Here is a 20552-nt window from a genome sequence, read left to right as displayed (position 1 = left end):
TTTATGTACTTTTTGGATGGTTTCTGTAGGAGAGCTTTCTAAAAAAGGAAAAAAAGTGTTGAATGTTTTTTGAGAAGGGCTAGATTTTCAAGCCAGTCTTACAAAAGGATAGACTCATTGGAAATTCCAGATTTGCTTAGTGCTGGCAGATGAGTATCACTTATTGCTGAACAATGTGTCTAGAATTCTGATTAAAAAAGAAACTAGGTCCAGGAAGTGCCTGGGGGCAGGGGCAAAGGGCCAGGCTGCAGGATAGGCTCTTAGGATCTGGCTGAGCAGAAATCTGCTGTGAACAGAATCGGTGGGGGTGATGCTTTCTCAGTAACTTCTCCATTTGTTTCTTTAGCAGCTAAGTCCCTGTGCTGGACTTCTGTGGACTACTGTGGCTCTGGGGCTGTGGTTGTGGGTGAACAACAGCTAGCTAAACCAGTGCTGTTGACATCATTGAGATGTGACGCACAGGAAGGTGGGAGCAAGCTTGCAAATCAGATTCTGAAACATATAGCACAGCTCTCCCACCTCCAGGTGGTCCTGAGATCTAGGGAGGAGCCATAGTGAGAAACTTTAGGTTTCTAGGAATTCTCTTAGGGAGAAGCTCTCTTAGGGAGAGGCAGAACCTGGTTCTCAGTTGGGGCTGATTCAGGTGGGTTAGATCAATAAAGCCTCAGGCCAGTGTGCCAGGCTATTCCCAAGGAGTATACTTTGAAGTTACTCCCTTTAGAATGTCCTCAGTGGAGATAAATTCTCTCTGAGGAGCAGTTTTGTCTGCCGGGGTCATTTGGCACAAAGCCTGGAGTGCTAGGGCGAGGTTGCACTGAGGGAAGGGGCAGGATTATGTCAGCAGTGTGACGGATACAGTGTGAGGTCAGGCTCCTTCCTGCCCCACCACGGGGGCCTAGAGGTCATGGGGAGGGTCCCTGGCAGGGGATTCAATCATTGCTTGGCCCCATGACAGAGTATATTCTAAAAATGCCTTAAGTTTTTTTCTTTCAAAGTTTCTTCCTGTTTTGCATAATGGCCTTTTGCCTTTGACATCCTGAAACCGCAGAGCTGTCATTGGTGTTGCAGGACACTGCCAGCTTGAAAAAAATCAACAACAAAAAAAGAAACAGGAAAGGATGTGGAGTTCAGGGTGCGGCCTAGGGAAGCTGGTATTTGCGTTATGGGATTGTGGGGATGTGGTATTAAGGTGTTGGGTAGCGCCTGACATTTAGAGGAGTACTCTGGGCAGAGTCCCTGCCTGCCCAAGAATAGGTAGAATTGAGTCTTCACACCAAAGTCAGGAGAGACCCCCTCCCCCCAGGAAGAGAATGAACAGGGACTCATTTCCTCATTCAGCAAACTTTTATTGGTAACTACACTATATGAAGTGTGAGAGATAGACATGAACAAGAGAGGCCCCCACTCTTGGGCAGTCCCTTAGTAGTAGTAGATAGACTCTGGCAATATGGTGTGGTCAGAGAGAGGAAGCCTGGGTGCTTTGAGGGTACTGAGGAGGTGCAGGGAGCCAAATGGGTGGTCTGGGCCAGGGCCAGAGTCAGAATGAAGGACCTCTCTTCCAGACGTTGATTTTAGCATCTCTGTCTCTCAGTATGTTTGAACAGTCTCCCTTATTGGAAGGGCAGGAGTCTACTGCTAAAAGTAACCTGCGATTTCCTCTACTTGCTGTCATGTGGAAAGAATACTAAAGCTGAAATTCCAAAAGTTGCACACCTTTACCAGCAGGGCAGGAGAGGAAAGGAAATGGAGGCAGAGTGAGCTGAAGATGATAAAAGAAAGAGAAGGTGGTGCAGTTTGGACTGTTATGGACAGAGGAAGTCTGAGGGTAGCTGGACTGAGGGATCAAAGGGAGGCAGTTGAAAGGGAAGAGAGCTGCAGAGAGGGATTTCTTGGTCTGCAGAGGGTAGGAGCAAGCCTTGAAGGCTGCTGGAGTGAGGATTCCGAGCCCTGGTCTTTATTCTTTTTCTAATTCATTACATCATTTTAGGCAAGTCCTAACTCCTTTGGTCTCTGTTGTCTTTCTGAAATTTGAGTGGGCTGGGCCTGCTGGTCTTTAGCCTCTGTCTTTCTCTACCTCCTAGATTCCAGTTTGGCGAGTGGGGGGGAAAACCTGGTTGTATATGCAACGTGAAAGGCCTCTGGAATTCCTTTTGAAGCTCACTACCCATGAGGCTTCTGCTAAGGATTTCATCATGTCTGTCTAAGCAGACATAAAAATTTTAGCAGGTGGATGACCCGTAGAAATGGCACAAGGAATGTTTCTTTCTGTCACACTGTGGTATTTGATTTAAGAAAGTTGTTATCCTCTCTGTGCCTCAGTGTTCTCACTTGTAAAATGGCAATAACAGTATCCACCTCATAGATGTTATGAAATACAGGTAGTAGCCACGAAAGGGCTTAAAACAGTGCCTAACACAGAATAAGTTGTGAATATATGTTATTTATTATTGGTAGTATAATGCTTATTTGTGAAGATTTTGGCTTTTGCTTTATAGGACCTTTTTTTTTTTTAGTTGAAAATACAATGTTACCATGTTAAATGTTAAAAAAAATTCTACTTACCATTGTAACAGAACATGCTCCCACTTCTGTAACAGAGCTTGCTATTACTTTTCAAATGCATACATATTCCAATGCATATATTCCAATGCAGTTGTAGAGTGAAACTGTTTGCATGCAGCCATTTTTATCCAACATTATCTTATAAAATGTTATGTTGTTTATGATTATCCTAATTATCTTTTGTTGCTGTCTAGTATCCTTATAGATATTCCATTAGCATACACTATTCCAGGTTTCACTATCGTCGATAATCTAGATATGAACATTTTTGTAGTGTGTAGCTCTTTGCTTCAGTTGAATTACTTTCCTGGGATAAATTCCTGGGGAAGAATTTCTAGGCCAGAGGATATGGTCATCTTGACAATACTGATTCACATTGCTGCATTGCTTTCCAAGAGGTTTGGAATCATTCACAGGTTCTAAATTGGAAAATCCTGGCTTTTGAAGTATGTGGATTCTAAGGGCGATTTGGATCTAGCTGGAGCCTCACACTGACACTTCCAGCCAGTGTGTGTGTGTGTGTGTGTGTGTGTGTGTGTGTGTGTAGTTCCCTATGCTGGACACCGTGTGTGTGTGTGTGTGTGTGTGTGTGTGTGTGTGTGTAGTTCCCTATGCTGGACACCATGTGGCCTTTCTGGACATTAGGGTTTTCCTGTGATTGCCTCAGAGCAGTTCCTGTTGAATTCACTCTGTGTCCACAAAAGGAGCCTTACTGTGGCTCTTTCAACACCCACCTACCTTTGCCAAGTTGGTTTACAGAAAGTAAGAACATTCTTTCCTTCTTCCTTGATATGTGGCGCTAAACCTATAGCATGGGGCAGGCTCTGGCTTTAAAAACCTGACTTAAAAATAATGGTGTTGATCAAAAAGTTTGTGGATCAGTTTTTGGAAACACTGCATGTAGCCATCCATAGAAACTTATATTCTGTTGGGCTAGCCTGGGCGCCTGATCATTTAACTCATGTGGATGAACTTCTATGTAATAGCCCTGGTGTATGGGATCCAGAAACAGGGCCCTAATGAAGAAAGGCTTTTAAATTATGTTGGATAAAAATAAGTTGTTACAATAGCCCAAAGTCTGCAAATATGAATTGCCAGTTCTGTCCTTGTAGTCATCCACCATGTGCCTGCATCTTTTGTAGACTCTTGTAGATTCAGAAGCCCACTGAATTGCATAAATGATGGAATGATTTTAGACTTAGTGATTTCAGTGACTAAAAGTTTACAGATCCTGGCCGGGCACAGTGGCTCACACCCGTATTCCCAGCACTTTGGGAGGCCGAGGTGGGTGGATCACCTGAGGTCAGGAGTTTGAGACCAGCCTGGCCAACATGGTGAAACCTTGTCTCTACTAAAAATACAAAAATTAGCCGGGTGTGGTGGCATGCACCTGTTGTCCCAGCTACTTGGGAGGCTGAGGTGGGAGAATGGCTTGAACCTGGGAGGCGGAGGTTGCAGTGAGCCCACATCAGGCCACTGCACTCCAGCCTGGGTGACAGAGTGAGACTCTGTCTCCACCTCCCCCGCCCCCCGAAAAAAAAAAAAGTTTACAGATCCAGCAGATGGGGCATATTCAATTTGTGACAGCCACTCCCTTCACCTTATAGCTATGTCATATGTCTTCTTCTCCTTTGACTGCATTCTGCAGCAGTCAGTTGTGACTTAATATGGCACTCTGGGCCCACTGAATTAGGTCAGAGCTGCTAGTAGTATATTGTTCCTAGAGACCTAGGGCAAGATTTTCTTACTACATAAAATGAGGGAGATAATTTCTTACCTCAAGATGTTGGTAAGAGGAGTGAATGAGGTTAGTTATATGGTAATATCAGTACTCTGAATGTCTTTTGATCAATGCCTAACTCATCTTCTTGGGCACAAAAGGCATACAGTCAGCACCCTTAGGCCACATATAAAATTCCTCCAAATGCAGGTTTTCATCTGCCTTGGGGCAGAGTCAAGAGAAAGAAGAGGAAGAGGCGTGAGGCTCTGACCACAACTTAGGGACAGAATATAGCCCAAAGCGAGTACCCCAGGCCACAAGGAGAAGGCCGCTATCTTGTTGAATCCACAGCACTGGAAACTTGGAGTGTGTGTTCCCCTGTGTCAGTTACACTGGAATTTTATGGCTGCTCACATTCTTCCCTTCAGGTGGACGTTGTTCATCAGTATCCTGGGCAAGAGGCCATCATAAACCACAGACAGCTGAGTGATTAGGAAGAGGAGCTGAAGAGGGAGCATTAGATGTTTGATTGAGTCTTAGGTGAGAAAGTATATCATTAAAACAAAAAGATAGATGTAGGCGGGCTCAGTCTTGTGTGCCTGGTGTGTTGGTAGAAAAACTAAAGCACAAGCCTGTAGATAACCTGCTTTATTCTACCTCGGGGCTGGTGTTGGAATCCAGGATGCCAGACCCTAAAGTCCAGCTCTCTTTCCAACCTACTGAATAATCCGAGAGAAATCATGTTCTCTCTCTGGGCCTCAGTTTGCCCATGTATAAAATGAGATGAAGGATTGGCTGGGATGCTCTCCAGAGTCTCTTCCTGCCTGGAGTTCTGACGTAGCCATGTACTCCTGCTCAGCATCGCTAAATGGCTTTGTGGTAGGACCATTGAGTGCTGCCTCCATTAGGGCCAGCTATGTAATGCTGGGGTGGCTGTCACTGGGCCCTAAGAGCCAGGATTGGTCTTACTGGAGAAATCCACATCCACCTAAACTTAAGACCCAGGGGTGTCCAATCTTTTGGCTTCCCCAGGCCACACTGGAAGAAGAATTGTCTTGGACCGCATATAAAATACACTAATTATAGCCGATGAGGTTAAAAAAAAAAAACTCAATATTTTAAGAGAGTTCATGAATTTGTGTTGAGCTGCATTCAAAGCCATCCTGGCCGCATGTGGCCCATGGGCCATCGGTTGGACATGCTTGCTTTAGACCTCCCAGCAATTCTAGTCTCTAAACAGGAAATCAAAAGTCAAGATGAATAGATAAGTTGGTCAGTGTGAAAAAGTAATTGGTGGGAGCCACTGTAGATGCAGGGTTCTAGGCTCCATCAACAACCACCTACATCACTGAACGAAAGATAATGCTTGTTCAGCACTTATTACATGCCAACCATGGTAAAAATACTTCAGATGCATTGTTTTCATGAACTCTCACAGCAGCTCTTTTTCTTGCCTAAATGCCCCGTTAGAACCTCCAGTACAATGTTAAATAGATATGCTAAGAGACAACATATGTGTCTTGTTAGGGGGAAAATATCCAGTCTTTGACTATTAAGAATGGTGTTAGCAGTGGGTTTTTCCTAGGTGCCCTTTATCAGGTTGAGGAAGTTCCTTTCTATTCCTGGTTTGTTGAGTATTTTTATCATGAAAAGGTGATGGGTTTTGTCAAATGCTTTTCTGTGTCTGTTGAGATGATCATGTTTTTTTGTCATTTATTCTATTGATATGGTATATTATACATTGATTTTTCAGATATTAATCTTGCATACCTGGGATAAATCCCACTTGGTCATGGTGTATAATTCTTTTTATTTGTTGCTGGATTGAGTTTGCTAGTATTTTGTTGATTTGTATTCATAACAGATAGTGGTCTGTAGTCTTTCCCTCCCTCCCTCCCTCCCTCCCTCCCTCCCTTCCTTCCTTCCTCTCTCTCTCTCTCTCTCCCCTCCCCTCCCTTCTTTTCCCCTCCTCTCCCCTCCCCTTCCCTTTCTTCTCTTTCATAGTTGTTTACCACTGTCAGAAAAGGTCTGTTCGTTTTCTTTCGTCGTGAGATCTTTGTTTGGTTTTGGTATCAGGGTAATACTGCCTCAAAAAATGAGTAGGGAAGTGTTCCTTCCTCTTCTGTATTTTGAGAGAGTTTGTGGTCGGTTTTTATTAATTCTTCTTTAAATATCTGGTAGCGTTCACCAGTAAAGCCATCTGGGCCTGATGTTTTCTTTGTGGAAAACTTTTTGATTCCTAATTCAGTTTCTGGTTATAGGTCTATTCAGACCTTCTATTTTTTCTTAAGTCAGTTTTGATAGTTTGTGTCTTCCAAGGAGTTTGCTTCATCTAAGTCATCTAATTTGTTGGCATACATTTCATAGTGATTCCTTATGATCCTTTTTATTTCCGTTAAAGTTGGTGTAGGGATAGTCCCTCTTTCATTACTGATTATAATAATTTGAATTTTCTTTTTTTCTTAGTCTTGCCAAAAGCTTGTCATTTTTATTGATCTTTTCAGAGGACCAACTTTGAGTTCATTATTTGTTCTCTTTGTTCTTATTTTTCTGCTTCATTAACTTCTCTAATCTTTATTCTTTCATTCTGCTTGCTTTTGGTTAAGTTTGCTTTTTCTGGTGTCTTAAGGTAGAAGGTTAGGTTACTGATTTGAGATTTAAAGATCATGCTCTTTAAACGTTTTGATAGATACTGTCAGTTTGCCCTCTGGCTTTTTCTCATTAACAGTGTATAGGAGTGCTTATTCCTCACACTCATACCAGCCCTGGGTGTTACTAACCTTTATATATTTGCCAGTATCATATTCAGACATAGTATCTTGTTTTAATATGTTTCTCTGATTACTGATGAAGTTAAGCAAATTTTCACGTGTTTATTGGCCATCTGTCTTTCTTTTTTCATCCTTTCTTTCAAGATGGGAGTCTTTGCCATGTTGCCCAGGCTGGACTCGAACTCCTGGGCTCAAATGATCTTCCTGCCTCAGCCTCCTGAGTAGCTGGGACTATAGGCGTGAGCCACCATGGCTGGCTTGCCCATTTGTATTTCTTATGTGAGTATTTTTTCTTTTTTTTTGAAGTGGAGTCTCACTCCATCCCCCAGAGTGGAGTGCAGTTGTCCGATCTTGGCTCACTGCAACCACCGCCTCCCAGGTTCAAGTGATTCTCACACCTTAGCCTCCCAAGTATCTGGGACTATAGGTGTGTGCCACCACACCTGGCTAATATTTGTATTTTTAGCAGAGATGGGGTTTCACCATGTTGGCCAGGCTGGTTTCAAACTGGCCTCAAGTGATTCACCTGCCTCGGCCTCCCAAAGTGCTGGGATTACAGGTGTGAGCCACTGTGCCCAGCTGACTTTTTTTTTCTTTTTTTTAACCCTTTTTTTTTTTTACCCTTTTTTTGGCCCATTTTTTTTTACCCTTTTTCTTTTAACCCATTTTTCTATTAGTTTTAAAAATATGTTTGCAGGAGCTTTTTATATTGTGGATTTTTCTTGTTTATTACATATCATTTGTAAATATGGTCTCTCCATCTGTCACTCTTCTTTATCTCTGGTTTCTTTAGCTATGTAGAAGTTGTTATGTTATGTTATGTTATGTTATGTTATGTTATGTTATGTTATGTTATGTTATGTTATTTTTTGGAGAGGGAGTCTTGCTCTGTCGCCCAGGCTGGAGTGCAGTGGTGAAATCTCGGCTCACTGCAACCTCTGCCTCCTGGGTTCAAGCGATTCTCCTGCCTCAGCTTCCCGAGAAGCTGTGATTACAGGCACCCGCCACCACACCCAGCTAATTTTTGTGTTTTAGTAGAGACGGGGTTTCACTATGTAGGTCAAGCTGATCTCAAACTCCTGATCTCAAATGATCCTCCCAAAGTGCTGGGGTTACAGGCGTGAGCCACTGCACTCGGCCAGAAGTTTTGAATTTTTATGTGTTTAAATCTATGTTTTCCTTTATGACTTCAGGTTGCTTTCATACTTAAGCAGGTCTTCACCATCCCAAAATGATAAAATTTTTCTCCTGAGTTTTCTTCTAAGTTGGTTCTTTAGAAGCCACCAACTTGGCTTCGACAGCAAAAGATGAACAGAATTTCTGTTCAACTCTCATGCTGCAAGAAGCTTTATGTAATACTCCAGGGACCCTTTAAGGTCCCAGAGTTTTCCTCCAAATCTATCAGTGATTCTAGTGGCTAAGAGTAGAAATGTGAAAATTTAGCCATGTGTGCTGATAGAGCTGTAGTAATTTGTAAGCTCTGAAGTTCTAAGGAGTCAGGGGAGAAGGGAAAGTAACATTTATTGAACATCTATTAGCTCAATAAGAACATGCGATAAGTATGTATATGTATTATTTCACTTACATCTGAAAGGAAGGCATAATTATCCCCACTCCTTAGAGAAGGAAATTGGAGCTGGCTACATTTAAAGTAGTCCTGACACCAGAGAGATATTGCCAGGAGTACTTGGCTGGCTGAGTGCCCAGATGGCCCATAGGAGTAGTGGGCCCTCCACAGTCCAAGGTCTGGTTCTAGGTGGAGAGAGAAGGATGTGCTCGTAGTCAGCACCGCAGCTCCAGAAAATCTGCTGGGGCTCCAAAACTGATTAGAGGGGCAGCTGACTCAGTAATAAAACTCCCAGGAGACTTACTTACATACTGGAATGCAAAGTTGCAGCTTTACTGGGAAGATTAGAACTGTTATTGAGTAGCTTAGAAATCTCTGGCTGAATTCACTGCAAGGGAAGCCGCAGGATAAGCTAACTGCTGGTGAGTCAGCAGTCAGAGCAGGGAAGTGAATTTAACATTAGATGGGTCAGTCTCTCGTGGCTGATGAATTCATCCCCACAATACTGTACACCTGCCTTAGGGACCTTTGTCTGGACTAGGGGTTGGGGTCCCCCTCCTTTGTACAGCCCTGGAAGGACACATCCAGCTCCATCCGCCATCTCTCCCTTACTTATTTCCTTCCTTCCTTCCTTCTTTCCATCCAGCCATCAAGCTTCCTTTCATGGCCAATAATCATCATTGGGGTCTACTCATGGACTCTCTTGCCTCATGTATTTGTTTTATTTTGTCCTCATTCCCACTTCTATTTCCCAGGTATATCACAGGCAACTATTCTAACGTATTTATAGTTTGTGTATCTGTTTTTGCTCTTGCCAAAATGGAAGCCACTGCTTTATACATAGATGTATTCTTAACTTTAAAAAAAATTTTTTTAGATTAACCTACAATAAAATTGGCTTTTTGGCATATAGTCTATAAATTTTAACACATACATATTTTTGTGTATCTACCACCACAATCAGGATACAGAACAGTTCCATCACCCCAAAAAAATCCCTCTTGTAGTCACATTCTCCTCCCACCCTTAATCCCAGGCAACCACTGATCTATTCTTCATTACTATTGTTTTGTCTTTTTGAGGATGTCACATAAATGGAGTCACACAGTATATATACATTTTTTTAAACATATGTAAATGGCATTTTATAGCTCATTTTGATTATATGTTTTTCATCCAGTTCTGTTTTTTTTTTTTATTTTTAAAAAGTTTGACATAACTTCAGACTTACAGAAAAGTTGTTAGACTAATACAAAGAATTCCTGGATATCCTTTGGAGTCCCTAAATGTTAACATTTTACTATATTTACTTTTTCCTTCTCTCTCTCTCTCTCTCTCGCTCTGTGTGTGTGTGTGTGTGTGTGTGTGTGTGTGTATCTACCTGTAGATAGATAGATATTAATATAATTTTAGATAGATGTATCTAGATCTCTCTCTCTCATATATATGTGTGTGTGTATATATCTATATCTATATCTATATATATCTCCTTTTACCCTTAAATATTCAGTGTATATTTCCTAACAACAAGGTGATTTAAAAATATATATATAAACATAGTATAATTAACAATCAGGACATCAACATTGAAACATTTCTGCTATGTCATCTACAGGCCTTAGGAAGACTTTGTCAGGTGCCCCAATAATAGCCTTGATGGTAGAAGAAAACCATGTGTTGTATTCAGTTGTCATGTCTCTTAGTGTCTTGTAATCTGAAATAATTCCCAAGCCCTTTGGATTTCATGACAGTGACATTGTTGAAGAGTACAGGCCAGTTATTTTGTAGAAGGTCTCTCAGTTTAGGTCTGTCTGATGTTTCCTCCTGATCAGATTCAGGTTATTCACTTTTGACAGGAATACCACTGAAATGATGCTGAGTTCTTCTCAGTGTAACGAGATCTAGAGACACACACTGTCAGTTTGTTCCTTATTGGCAGTGTGAACCTTGAGGATTTCATTGTAGTGGCATTTGGCATTACTCCATTATAGTTACTATTTTACCATTTTAAATTAAAACTATCTGGCCGGGCGTAGTAGCTCATGTCTGTAATCCCAGCACTTTAGGAGGCTGAGGCGGGCAAATTGCTTGAGGTCAGAAGTTTGAAACCATCCTAGCCAACATAACATGGTGAAACGCCATCTCTATAAAAAATACAAAAAATTAGCCTGGCGTGGTGGCGCATTTGTAGTTCCAGCTACTCAGGAGGCTGAGGCACAAGGCTTGCTTGAGCCTGGGAGGCGGAGGTTGCAGTGAGCTGAAATCACGCCACTGCACTCTAGCCAGGGTGACAGAGTGAGACTCTGTCTCAAAAAAAAAAAGTAAATAAATAAAAAAATTTTTTAAGTATCTTATGGGCATATACTTGTCCTGTTACTCCTCAAACTTTCATCCACTTTTTTTTTTTTAAATTTTTTTTCTTACCTTTCATCGTTTTCTTGATATCCACTGGGTTTTAGCATCTACAAATGATTCTTGCCTGAATCAGTTATTATGGTAGTTGATGGTTTTCTAATTCCATTATTCCTTCTATGTTTGTTAATTTTGGCATTCTTCTATAAGGAAGAGCTTACCCTTTTTCCCTATTAATTAATTCATATATTAATGCAGACCTATGCATTCTTACTTCATTAAATCATAATCCTTTACTATCATTATGTATTCTGATGTTCAGACTATCCCAGATTTAGCCAATAAGATCCCCTTCAGGGGAATGGTCTTTGGGATTCCTCTTTAGAGGTTCCTGGTTCCTGTTTTCTTTTGACATATCCTATTACTCTTTGAGCATTTTTTTTTTTTTTTTTACTTTTAGGCACAGCAAGAAGTTCCATGGTCCTCTTGTTCTTTCCCCAACTCAGCCCTAGAGTCAGTCACTTCTCCAATGAGCTCTAGTTCCTTTTAGTAGAGAATCATAATTAGAAAACAAGAATCAGTGCCAAGTGTGCACCTTTGTTTTTAAGGTCCATCCACGTTGCCGTGTATATGTCCAGCATGTTGATTCTAACTGCTGAATAATACCTCATGATTGTCATCCATCCCAGTGTTTCTTTTTCCCTTCTGTAATGAGGGACTCCTGGACTGCCTCCAGCATTACCTTCACAAATATTGCTGTGAGGAAAATCCTTAAACGTTTCCTTTATGGGCAACGTGTGAGCATGTTTATGTTGATTCAGGGGTGCCAGACACAGCTCCAGAATGGCTGCCTCAGTTTACATTTCCACCAGCAGAGCATGACAGGCTCTGTGTCTCCGTGAATAATCAGCATTAACCAGCTTCCTATTTTTTGCCAAACTAATAGATGTGCTAGGATAACTCTTTGTTTTAACTTGTTTTTCTCTGATTACCAATGAGCTGGAGCATTTCTTCATATGCCTGATGGTCTTTGGGATTCCTCTTAGGTAAATTGCTTATTCATTATAATCCTTTGCCTGTTTTTCACTGGAGTTCTTATATTTTTCTTGAAGATATGCAGGAATTCCTTATACATCCTAGATATTAATCCCTTCCTGGTCTCAGACATTGCAGATATCTTCTGAATCTGTTATTTACTTATTTATTTACAATTTTTTTTTTAAGAGTTGGGGTTTTGCTCTGTCACCCAGACTGGAGTGCAGTGGTATGATCATGACTCATTGTGGCCTCGCAATCCTGGGCTTAAGCGATCCTCCCACCTCAGCCTCCTGAGTAGTTGGGACTACAGGTATGCACCACCAGACTTGGCTAATTTTATTTTATTTTTTAGAGATGGAAGTCTTAATATGTTGCTCAGGCCAATCTTGAACTCCTGGCCTCAAGCAATCTTTCCACCTCAGCCTCCTGCATCTATTATATATATGTTCACTTTGCTCATGCTGTATTTTGTTGCAACATAAAACTATTTTTCCCATTGTTTTGTGCAGTCTCTCACCAGCACTCTTCTTTTTCTGTAACTGTGTTAATGCCCTTTGTTCTTCCATATGTTAGGTATGCTGGTATAGTTGAACTCTGCTGACTCTCCTCAGTAAACAGTCTCTTTTTATGACACCTTATCCTCTACTGAATTCTCTCTATCAAGAATGACTTGGCCGGGCATGGGGGCTCATGCCTGTAATCCCAGCATTCTGGGAGGCCGAGGTGGGCAGATCACCCGAGGTCAGAAGTTCAAGACCAGCCCGGCCAACACGGTGAAACCCTGTCTCTATGAAAATACAAAAATCAGCTGGGCGTGGTGGCAGGTGCCTGTAATCCCAGCTACTTGGGAGGCTGAGGCGGGAGAATCACTTGAACCTGAGGGGGAGGTTGCAGTAAGCCGGGATGGCACATTGCACTCCAGACTGGGTGATGGAGAAACTCCATCTCAGGGGGAAAAAAAAAAAAAAAAAAAGAATGACTTGTCTTCCTCTTAGAGTGTGAGGTCTACATACAAATATTATTCTTGTATTCAGCAAATGTATGTCATAGGCCTAGTGTGTGTTAGGAACTGTGCTGTCACCAACAAAGTTTAGAGAGGTTATAAAACTTGACTGTAGCTTTTTAGAGGTGGAGGAGTGATTTGAAACCTAGGCTGTAATTCCTTCCTCCTGTGATTCCTTCCTACTGTGTTGCCTTCCCTTGAAAATTGCATTTGGGGGCCAGGTGTGGTGGCTCTCGCCTGTAATCCCAGCACTTTGGGAGGCTGAGGCGGGTGGATCACCTGAGGTCAGGAGTTCAAGACCAGCCTGGCCAACATGGCGAAACCCCGTCTTTACTAAAAATACAAAAATTAGCTGGATGTGGTGTGTGGTGACATGCACCTATATTCCCAGGTACTCAGTAGGCTGAGGCAAGAGAATCACTTGAACCCAGGAGGCAGAGGCTGCAGTGAGCTGAAATTGCACCACTGCACTCCAGCCTGAGTGACAGAGTGAGACTCTGTCTCAAAAAAAAAAAAAAGAAAAGAAAGAAAATTGCATTTAGTTCCTGTAGACTGTGTGTCAAATGTCTAAATCTCTTCTAACAAATGGCCTAAGGAGGTGCAAAGCGAAGCATCCTCACCAGCATCCTGACTTGGCAGTGAGGCATGGGACCCTGGAGGGAGTAGTGGTAAGTGTGACTCTGGAATTCTTCCTGGGCTACTTGTCAGTGACTGGCTCCAGATTGAGAGGAGAGCCCAGAGGACACAGGTGGCTGCCCCAGCCTGGAGGTGAAAGTCTTAAAATAAAATGCCAGATGCCTAGACCATTCTAAACCTTTCTGAGAAGCTGAAATCATCCCTTCTGGAAGCGCTCTAGTTCTAAAAGGACAGATATACAGCAAGATCTTCCTGGGGCTAATATGGAGTTTATAGGCAAGTAGGCCTCAGAACCTTTCCCTGGTAGTGATATCTGTGGGCAGGCACAGTTTCCACACTTTCCAGAAATTCCAGCGGAAGGAGTGAGAAGGAGGAATCTGCCCTTGAGTGAGGACCAAAGAAAGCAGAAATTCCTCTTGGGAATTTTTCCTCCAGAGACCAAACACTACTTGGGAGCTTGTTTACTGGGCTTTAAAAGCTTGTGACCCCCAGTCACTCTTTCTTGACCCCAAGGCTTTGCATTTCTGTGGCTTCCCCACTGGACAGAAGTGGAACTGTCATGCTGCCTGTTCTGGGGTCTCCCAGAGGTTTCCCCATGTCCTCTCCTTGCTTCTACTGCCCCACAGAATTGGGGATCTGTGACCACATATGGTATAGAATTAATGCTTGAGAATGGTTTAGTTCAGTGATGTCAAATAAGATTCACTTTTATGCCACCTCCATCAGTTGAAGGCCCCCCTGGCCCCTAAATTGGAAAAGATTCTGAGACAGAATCCCCGTGGGTACAGCGCAGGGACAGTAAAGGCACGTGTGCTGTGATTTGCTATCCACTGTGTGGATGCATCCAGGAATATCAGAACCCTGGAAGATTATTTAAGGGGAAGTTAGGACAGCTTTTTTGCCAATCCAAGGGTGTTCTTGAGGAAGTCTGTCTTCCTGTATGGCCTTCAGTTTCTTTCCTGTGTAACCATGGGGCCAACACATAATTCCCACAGCTCTATTGGCCCTTGTCTGCCAGGATTCTCTAGGGTCTGATTCGAGGTGGATCCTGGCCCTTTGAGGTGGCAGAATCTGATCATGGTGCTGTTTCCTTAGATTTAGGCCTTGATACCCTTGGCGAGAGCATCCTGGGCTGAGTGACCACCTGAGGTTTTTCTGGTGATTTTGTGACCCATGTAAAACTTTGAGCTTTGGGATTATTCTCTCAAGGAAATAGTGACATTTGGTGAAGAGCCTGTTTGGTGTGGCTATGTGAGGCTTAGCCAAGAAAATGCACCATTTTTATTAGGAGGTTAGGCCATCCGTTGCCACAAAGTGTCAGATGCTAGGCCTAGAGCCTGGAGAAAACTTATTTTAAAATTGATGGGGTGCTGGAGGGGTTGGGGGGTGGTGGCTGTAGCTCATGAATCAGGTGCTAAACCTAGAAACAAAAGGCCTCATGTGGCAGACTGTTTCTGAGCACAGATGAATGGATGAGCAACTGGCGCAACTTTGCCCAGTTGGTCCAGCTTCCCACTTGGCCACCTAGGCTTGCTGTGAAGACCTCGTCTGGCAGAAATGAGAGTGTTTTTGCCCCATCTTGATCTTAACTGTAATTTAAGACTAAAATCTTAGATTCTAAAACATCAAAGGCAAGATGGCTCCCAGCTCTGTGAGCTCAGCTTCTCACCTCTTAGTTGAACAAGTGCAGTGTGGGTCAATACATGATTGCTGCTCTTGCTGCCAGGAACTGTCCCAGCATAGAAAGGAATGGGACACAATCCCTGCCGTCAAGATTCTAAGGGAGGAAGCAGGCAGGTCGACTGGTGCCTCATCTCTGCAGGGCTCCAGCCAAGGTTTGTGAAGGATTTTGCAGGCATATGGAGTGGGGACTGATTGATCCCGAGAGGGGACTGGGGAAAGCTCTGAAGAGGGGATGACATTTGGTTTGAACTCCAAAAAATGGTTGCTTTACCTGTTTCCTGAAGTTTTTGAGGTGGCTTATAAGAACATATACCATAAAAAGGACCAATATAAATTTAAAATCAGAAAAAGAGAAAATGGGCTGGGCATGGTGGCTCATGCCTGTAATCCCAGCACTTTGGGAGGCCAAGGTGGGTGGATCGTGAGGTCAGGAGATCGAGACCATCCTGCCTGGCCAACATGGTGAAACCCCGGCTCTACTAAAAATACAAAAAATTAGCTGGGTGTGGTGGCACATGCCTGTAGTCCCACCTACTTGGGAGGCTGAGGCAGGAGAATCGCTTGAAACCTGGGAGGCGGAGGTTGCAGTGAGCTGAGATCGCACCACTGCACTCCAGCCTGGGCGACAGAGTGAGACTCCTCCTCAAAAATAAATAAATAAAGAGAAAATGGAACTTAGAAAATTAAGAGGAAGAGTGAAAAGGTAGATATTTAGTCAGGCACAGTGGCTCATGCCTGTAATCCCAACACTTTGGGAGGCCAAGACAGGAAAATCTCTTGAGACCAGGAGCTTGAGACTTGCCTGGCAACATCTCAGGTGAGACCTTATCTCTACAAAAAATTTAAAAATTAGCTGAGCTGTGTGGCTCGTGACTGTGATCCCAGCTACTCAGGAGGCCGAGACCACAGCCCAGGAGGATCGCTTGGGCCCAGCAGTTTGAGGCTGCAGTGAGCTGGCACCACTGCAATTCAGCCTGGGCTACAGAGCAAGACCCAGTTTAAAAAAAAAAAAAAAGATATTCAAACCATGGGTCCCAACGTAGTTATTATATTTGACCATTTGCAAAAGCTGAAAGCAAAACATGTTACACATTTTCAGAGAGGAAAATACACAGTAGTTCCTGAGTGTAAGTTGTTTTTCTTGACCTCATTCTTAAATTGCTTCATGAGGGTGGGAGGGAAGTGGTAGTTAATAAGTGAACCTGTAAACCAGCGTTTCTCAAAATGTAGTCCAGGGAATTGCATCAAAATTGCAGTTACCTACAGTGCTTGTTAAAATGCAGATTCCTGGGCCCCTGCCCCAGGCTTATCAAATCAATCTGGTGAGTAGGACTCAAGAACCTGTAAATTCACATACTTCTGCAGATGATTCTTCTTGCACTGCACAGCATGAAAGCCTCTGCAATAGACAGAAAGCTACCAGCATTGCGAAAGCAACTTGAGTGCTTGGCCTTTGAAGGTTGAGTGGGACTTTAATGAGGGAGAGAGTAAGGCATGAGAAATGGCAGTTCCACTGAGGTCAGTCAGTGGTTCATTGCTGACGAAGTCACTTTTAAGTCATGTTTTAGAAGAACTACCAAGTGTGGCAGGTCAGGCATGTGGCAGGACTGTTTCTGAGCACAGATGAATGGATGAGCACCTGGCCCCACTGTGCCCAGTTGGTCTAGCTTCCCACTTGGCCACCTACGGTCTGCTGTGTGGACCTTGTCTGGCAGTCTCCTTTAATTTATTTTTTATTATTTTTTTCTTTTTGAGATGGAGTCTTGCTTTGTTGCCCAGGCTAGAGTGCAGTGGCATGATCTCGGCTCACTGCAGCCTCCACTTCCCAGGTTCCAGCGATTCTCCTGCCTCAGCCTCCCAGGTAGCTGGGATCACAGGCAAGTGCCACCACGCCCAGCTAATTTTTGTATTTTTAATAGAGACATGGTTTTACCATGTTGGCCAGGCTGGTCTCGAACTCCTGACCTCAGGTGATCCACCCATCTCAGCCTCCCAAAATGCTGGAATTACAGGTGTGAGCCACCGCACCTGGCCTATTTTTTTTCAGCAAATTCTTTGTTTTTCTCTCTGTTCCCAAATGCAGGGTACTGAGACCACAGATGTATTCTGTTTCCTGTTGAAAAAATGTTTCTCACTTAGCTGGGTGTGGTAGCATGCACTGCAGTCCCACGGGAGGCTGAGGCGAGAGGATTGCTTGAGCCCAGGAGTTCGATAATCATGCCATTGCACTCTGGTCTGGGTAACAGAGCGAGAAACTGTCTCTTAAAAAAAAGAAAAAGAAAAAGAGGTCCTAGGGAAAGAAACAAATAGTGGCTTGGATGGTGAGTTGGTGGAAAGAACAGTGGGTGTTGGGGGTGTTGAACTTGTGTTTGTGTGTGGTGTACCCAAGACATATCATGTCAGCATTAAGAATAGACTATTCCTGTTTTCTGGTCACTGAGTTGTATGTTTTGACATCCTTATTTTGGAAGATACTTCCTTACTAGGAATGGGATAGGGAGGGGGTCACCTTTCCCATCTGTGGGTCATATTTTAAAATATTTATTGTTCAAGTTTAAAGATATAACCAAAGGTATAAAGAAAAATACCACAAACATCTGATTTAAGAAACAAACCAGCCGAGCGCGGTGGCTCGTGCCTGTAATCCCAGCACTGTGGGAGGCCGAGGCAGGCAGATCATGAGGTCAAGAGATCGAGACCATCCTGGCCAACATGGTGAAACCCCGTCTCTACTGAAAATACAAAAATTAACTGGTCATGGTGGTGTGTGCCTGTAGTCCCAGCTACTCGGGAGGCTGTGGCAGGAGAATCGCTTGAACCCAGGAGGCGGAGGTTGTAGTGAGCCAAGATTGTGCCACTGCATTCTAGCCTGGCGACAGAGTGAGACTCCGTCTCAAAAAGAAAAAAAAAAGAAAGAAATCATTTCCTACACCTTCGAAGCCTTCATGAGTTAGATTTTGAAACAGTGCAAAATGCTTCACGTGAGAATCGAGAGTCCCTTCTGGTGGCTCTCCATCCCCTGCTCTTCTGTCAGGTTTTCTTGTAGGTTTATGGAAACCTTTGTTACTTGTGCAGGTGGCAGAGAAGCAGAGAGGATAGCTGCGCGCCACCCACACAGCTAGGATTTATTGGCGTACTCCCACGTGCATGGCAGCCAAGTGGACACAACTCTGTGATGAATCCTCCCAAGAGAACTGAGGGGCCCTGATGGAGGAGCTGCTTCTTTGCAAAGCTTTCCTTGACTCTCTTCCTGTCCCCTAGTTGATTCCCCTTCTGTGCTAGTTTTAGCTTATTGTTTGTTACCTGTCACACTTAGCAGTACTGTTGGCTTTGCTGGTCTCCTTGACTACTGGGGGTAAAGACCTTTTGTTGTTGTTGTTGAGACAGAGTCTTGCTCTGTCGCCCAGGCTGGAGTGCAATGGCGTGATTTCGGCTCACTGCAACCTTCACCTCCCAGGTTCAAGAGATTCTCCTGCCTCAGCCTCCTAAGTAGCTGGGATTACAGCTACACCACACCCGGTTAATTTTTGTATTTTTAATAGAGATGGGGTTTAGTAGAGATGGGGTTTCACCATGTTGGCCAGGCTGGTCTCAAGCCCCTGACCTCAAGGTGACCTGCCTGTCTCAGCCTCCCAAAGTGCTGGGATTACAGACATGAGCCACCATGCCCAGCCTCAAAGACCTCTTCTTTACTTGCTCACCCTGCCGCCCACTCCCCTACCAACCCCTGCATGCCCTATACCACCTGGCACATGATACATACTAACTGGGTACATGTTTGAATATGAATGGATGTGGTGCTGTGAATGCTTAGGGGAAGTGGGTGAAATGCTTAAGAACCAACCTTGAGTGGTCTGGGAAGGCTTCCTGGGAGGGTGGTGTTTGAGCTAAGGCCAGGCAGCTGTTAGATTTGTTAGACTGAAGCCCTTGCAGACTTAGAGAGCTTGTGCTCTTCCCAGAATGACGGGTGAGCCACGTACAGTAAATGGTGCTTCTCATTTCTAGCCCAAGGGGCCTCAAGGGGCACCGTGATTTCACGAGAATGCTGCAAGCAAATCTTTTCTCAAGCTGGGGAATTTGGTGGTAATGCCTGGCTCAGCTTGCGGTGCGCACCTGGCCTTTGGAAGATTGGTACAGAGAGAAGCGGCCCATCCACATGAGCCTGTGGAACAGCACTGGTGGGGGAGCTGATTTGTGAAGAGGGGCTGTGCAGTGTACTGTCAGGTCTGAGACCCAGGAAGAAATTCCAGTATCCCAGCTCTCAGAATCACAGAGTTCTAGGCACTGCCTAGTTCCACGTGTTCCCAAATGTTTCCTGAATACTTGGATTTCCTGTCCAGAGAATTTTCAAAACAAACTTAGAGGCCTGACCCATGGCTGCCAAGGAAGGATTTTTTTTTTAAATTAAATTTTAAAAATCAGTCCAGCATGAAAATCTATGATGATTTCATAAGAGAAAGGACATTTTAATATTCAAAGAGTAAGAAGCACTTAATCTTGGAAGAAAGGGCATTCCTATACTTTGATTACCTTTAGTTTAATTAAAAAACACCTACATGGTCTTTACTTCTGTGATTTCATTCCTGGGCTAGTGAAACATTGTCACAATAAAGCATCAGGCCAACGCTTCTTTCGACCCACTGGCCAATCAGTTGACAAACAGTGACTAGATGTTTCAGCCTATTTTGCTGAGGCTAAAGGATTGAACTAGTGCTTCAGCCAGCATGAAAACCAGTCAGGAGTCCGTGCTGGTGTTGGCTTAGATTAGCAGGGCCTTTGATGGAGGGGCATGTATGTGTTTGGGTTTGCTGTGCCAGGCAGGGGAGCAGTGGAATTTGTCTGAATTGAGCTCACACATTGAAGTTATTGAGCGACTTACATGCAAGGCCATGACCTGGACTCCCAGCCGAGAGGCCCACGTGGCGGGGCTTGAGCTGGGGGAGCCGAGGACAGCTTACATCTGCTCATCTGCTTACGTAACCCTGCCTCCCAGCTTCCAGAGCCAAGAAAACACACAAGCCAGCCCAGCGGGGCCGAGAGCCTGTGGTAGCACACGCCATGCGCCGCACAGCAAGGGCGCCTTGGCTCGGCTTGAGGCCTGTCATGAAGCCCTCAGCCCTCTGCCTCCTCCCAGAGCTTCTCCCCACCACCCCAGGCAGTGGCTCTGAAACCTGGTCGCAGGTCTGCATGATTCTGAACAGAGGTAGTCGTTGCCTTCCT

General features: G+C 44.0%; 1 protein-coding gene across 6 annotated transcripts in view, besides 6 other annotated features; it reads left to right on the top strand.

The window, feature by feature from the left end:
* The window catches only part of B4GALT1 (beta-1,4-galactosyltransferase 1), an 81013-nt gene that overhangs the window by 24861 nt on the left and 35600 nt on the right, over positions 1 to 20552 (top strand). The window lies entirely within an intron of this gene.
* Positions 687 to 826: an enhancer, noted in NCBI's record as "active region_28279". NCBI's record gives its function as "activates an Ori minimal core promoter by ATAC-STARR-seq in GM12878 lymphoblastoid cells {active_cell/tissue: GM12878}" and the evidence as "EXISTENCE:reporter gene assay evidence [ECO:0000049][PMID:35858748]".
* Positions 857 to 1036: an enhancer, noted in NCBI's record as "active region_28278". NCBI's record gives its function as "activates an Ori minimal core promoter by ATAC-STARR-seq in GM12878 lymphoblastoid cells {active_cell/tissue: GM12878}" and the evidence as "EXISTENCE:reporter gene assay evidence [ECO:0000049][PMID:35858748]".
* Positions 1147 to 1206: an enhancer, noted in NCBI's record as "active region_28277". NCBI's record gives its function as "activates an Ori minimal core promoter by ATAC-STARR-seq in GM12878 lymphoblastoid cells {active_cell/tissue: GM12878}" and the evidence as "EXISTENCE:reporter gene assay evidence [ECO:0000049][PMID:35858748]".
* Positions 6409 to 6528: an enhancer, noted in NCBI's record as "active region_28276". NCBI's record gives its function as "activates an Ori minimal core promoter by ATAC-STARR-seq in GM12878 lymphoblastoid cells {active_cell/tissue: GM12878}" and the evidence as "EXISTENCE:reporter gene assay evidence [ECO:0000049][PMID:35858748]".
* Positions 19264 to 19573: an enhancer, noted in NCBI's record as "active region_28275". NCBI's record gives its function as "activates an Ori minimal core promoter by ATAC-STARR-seq in GM12878 lymphoblastoid cells {active_cell/tissue: GM12878}" and the evidence as "EXISTENCE:reporter gene assay evidence [ECO:0000049][PMID:35858748]".
* Positions 20097 to 20476: an enhancer, noted in NCBI's record as "active region_28274". NCBI's record gives its function as "activates an Ori minimal core promoter by ATAC-STARR-seq in GM12878 lymphoblastoid cells {active_cell/tissue: GM12878}" and the evidence as "EXISTENCE:reporter gene assay evidence [ECO:0000049][PMID:35858748]".

Source organism: Homo sapiens, chromosome 9 (assembly GCF_000001405.40).
Source record: "Homo sapiens chromosome 9, GRCh38.p14 Primary Assembly".
In the NCBI taxonomy this organism is placed as follows: Eukaryota; Metazoa; Chordata; class Mammalia; order Primates; family Hominidae; genus Homo; species Homo sapiens.
Note: the sequence above shows the minus strand (reverse complement) of the source record. Positions and strands in the feature narration are given on the sequence as shown.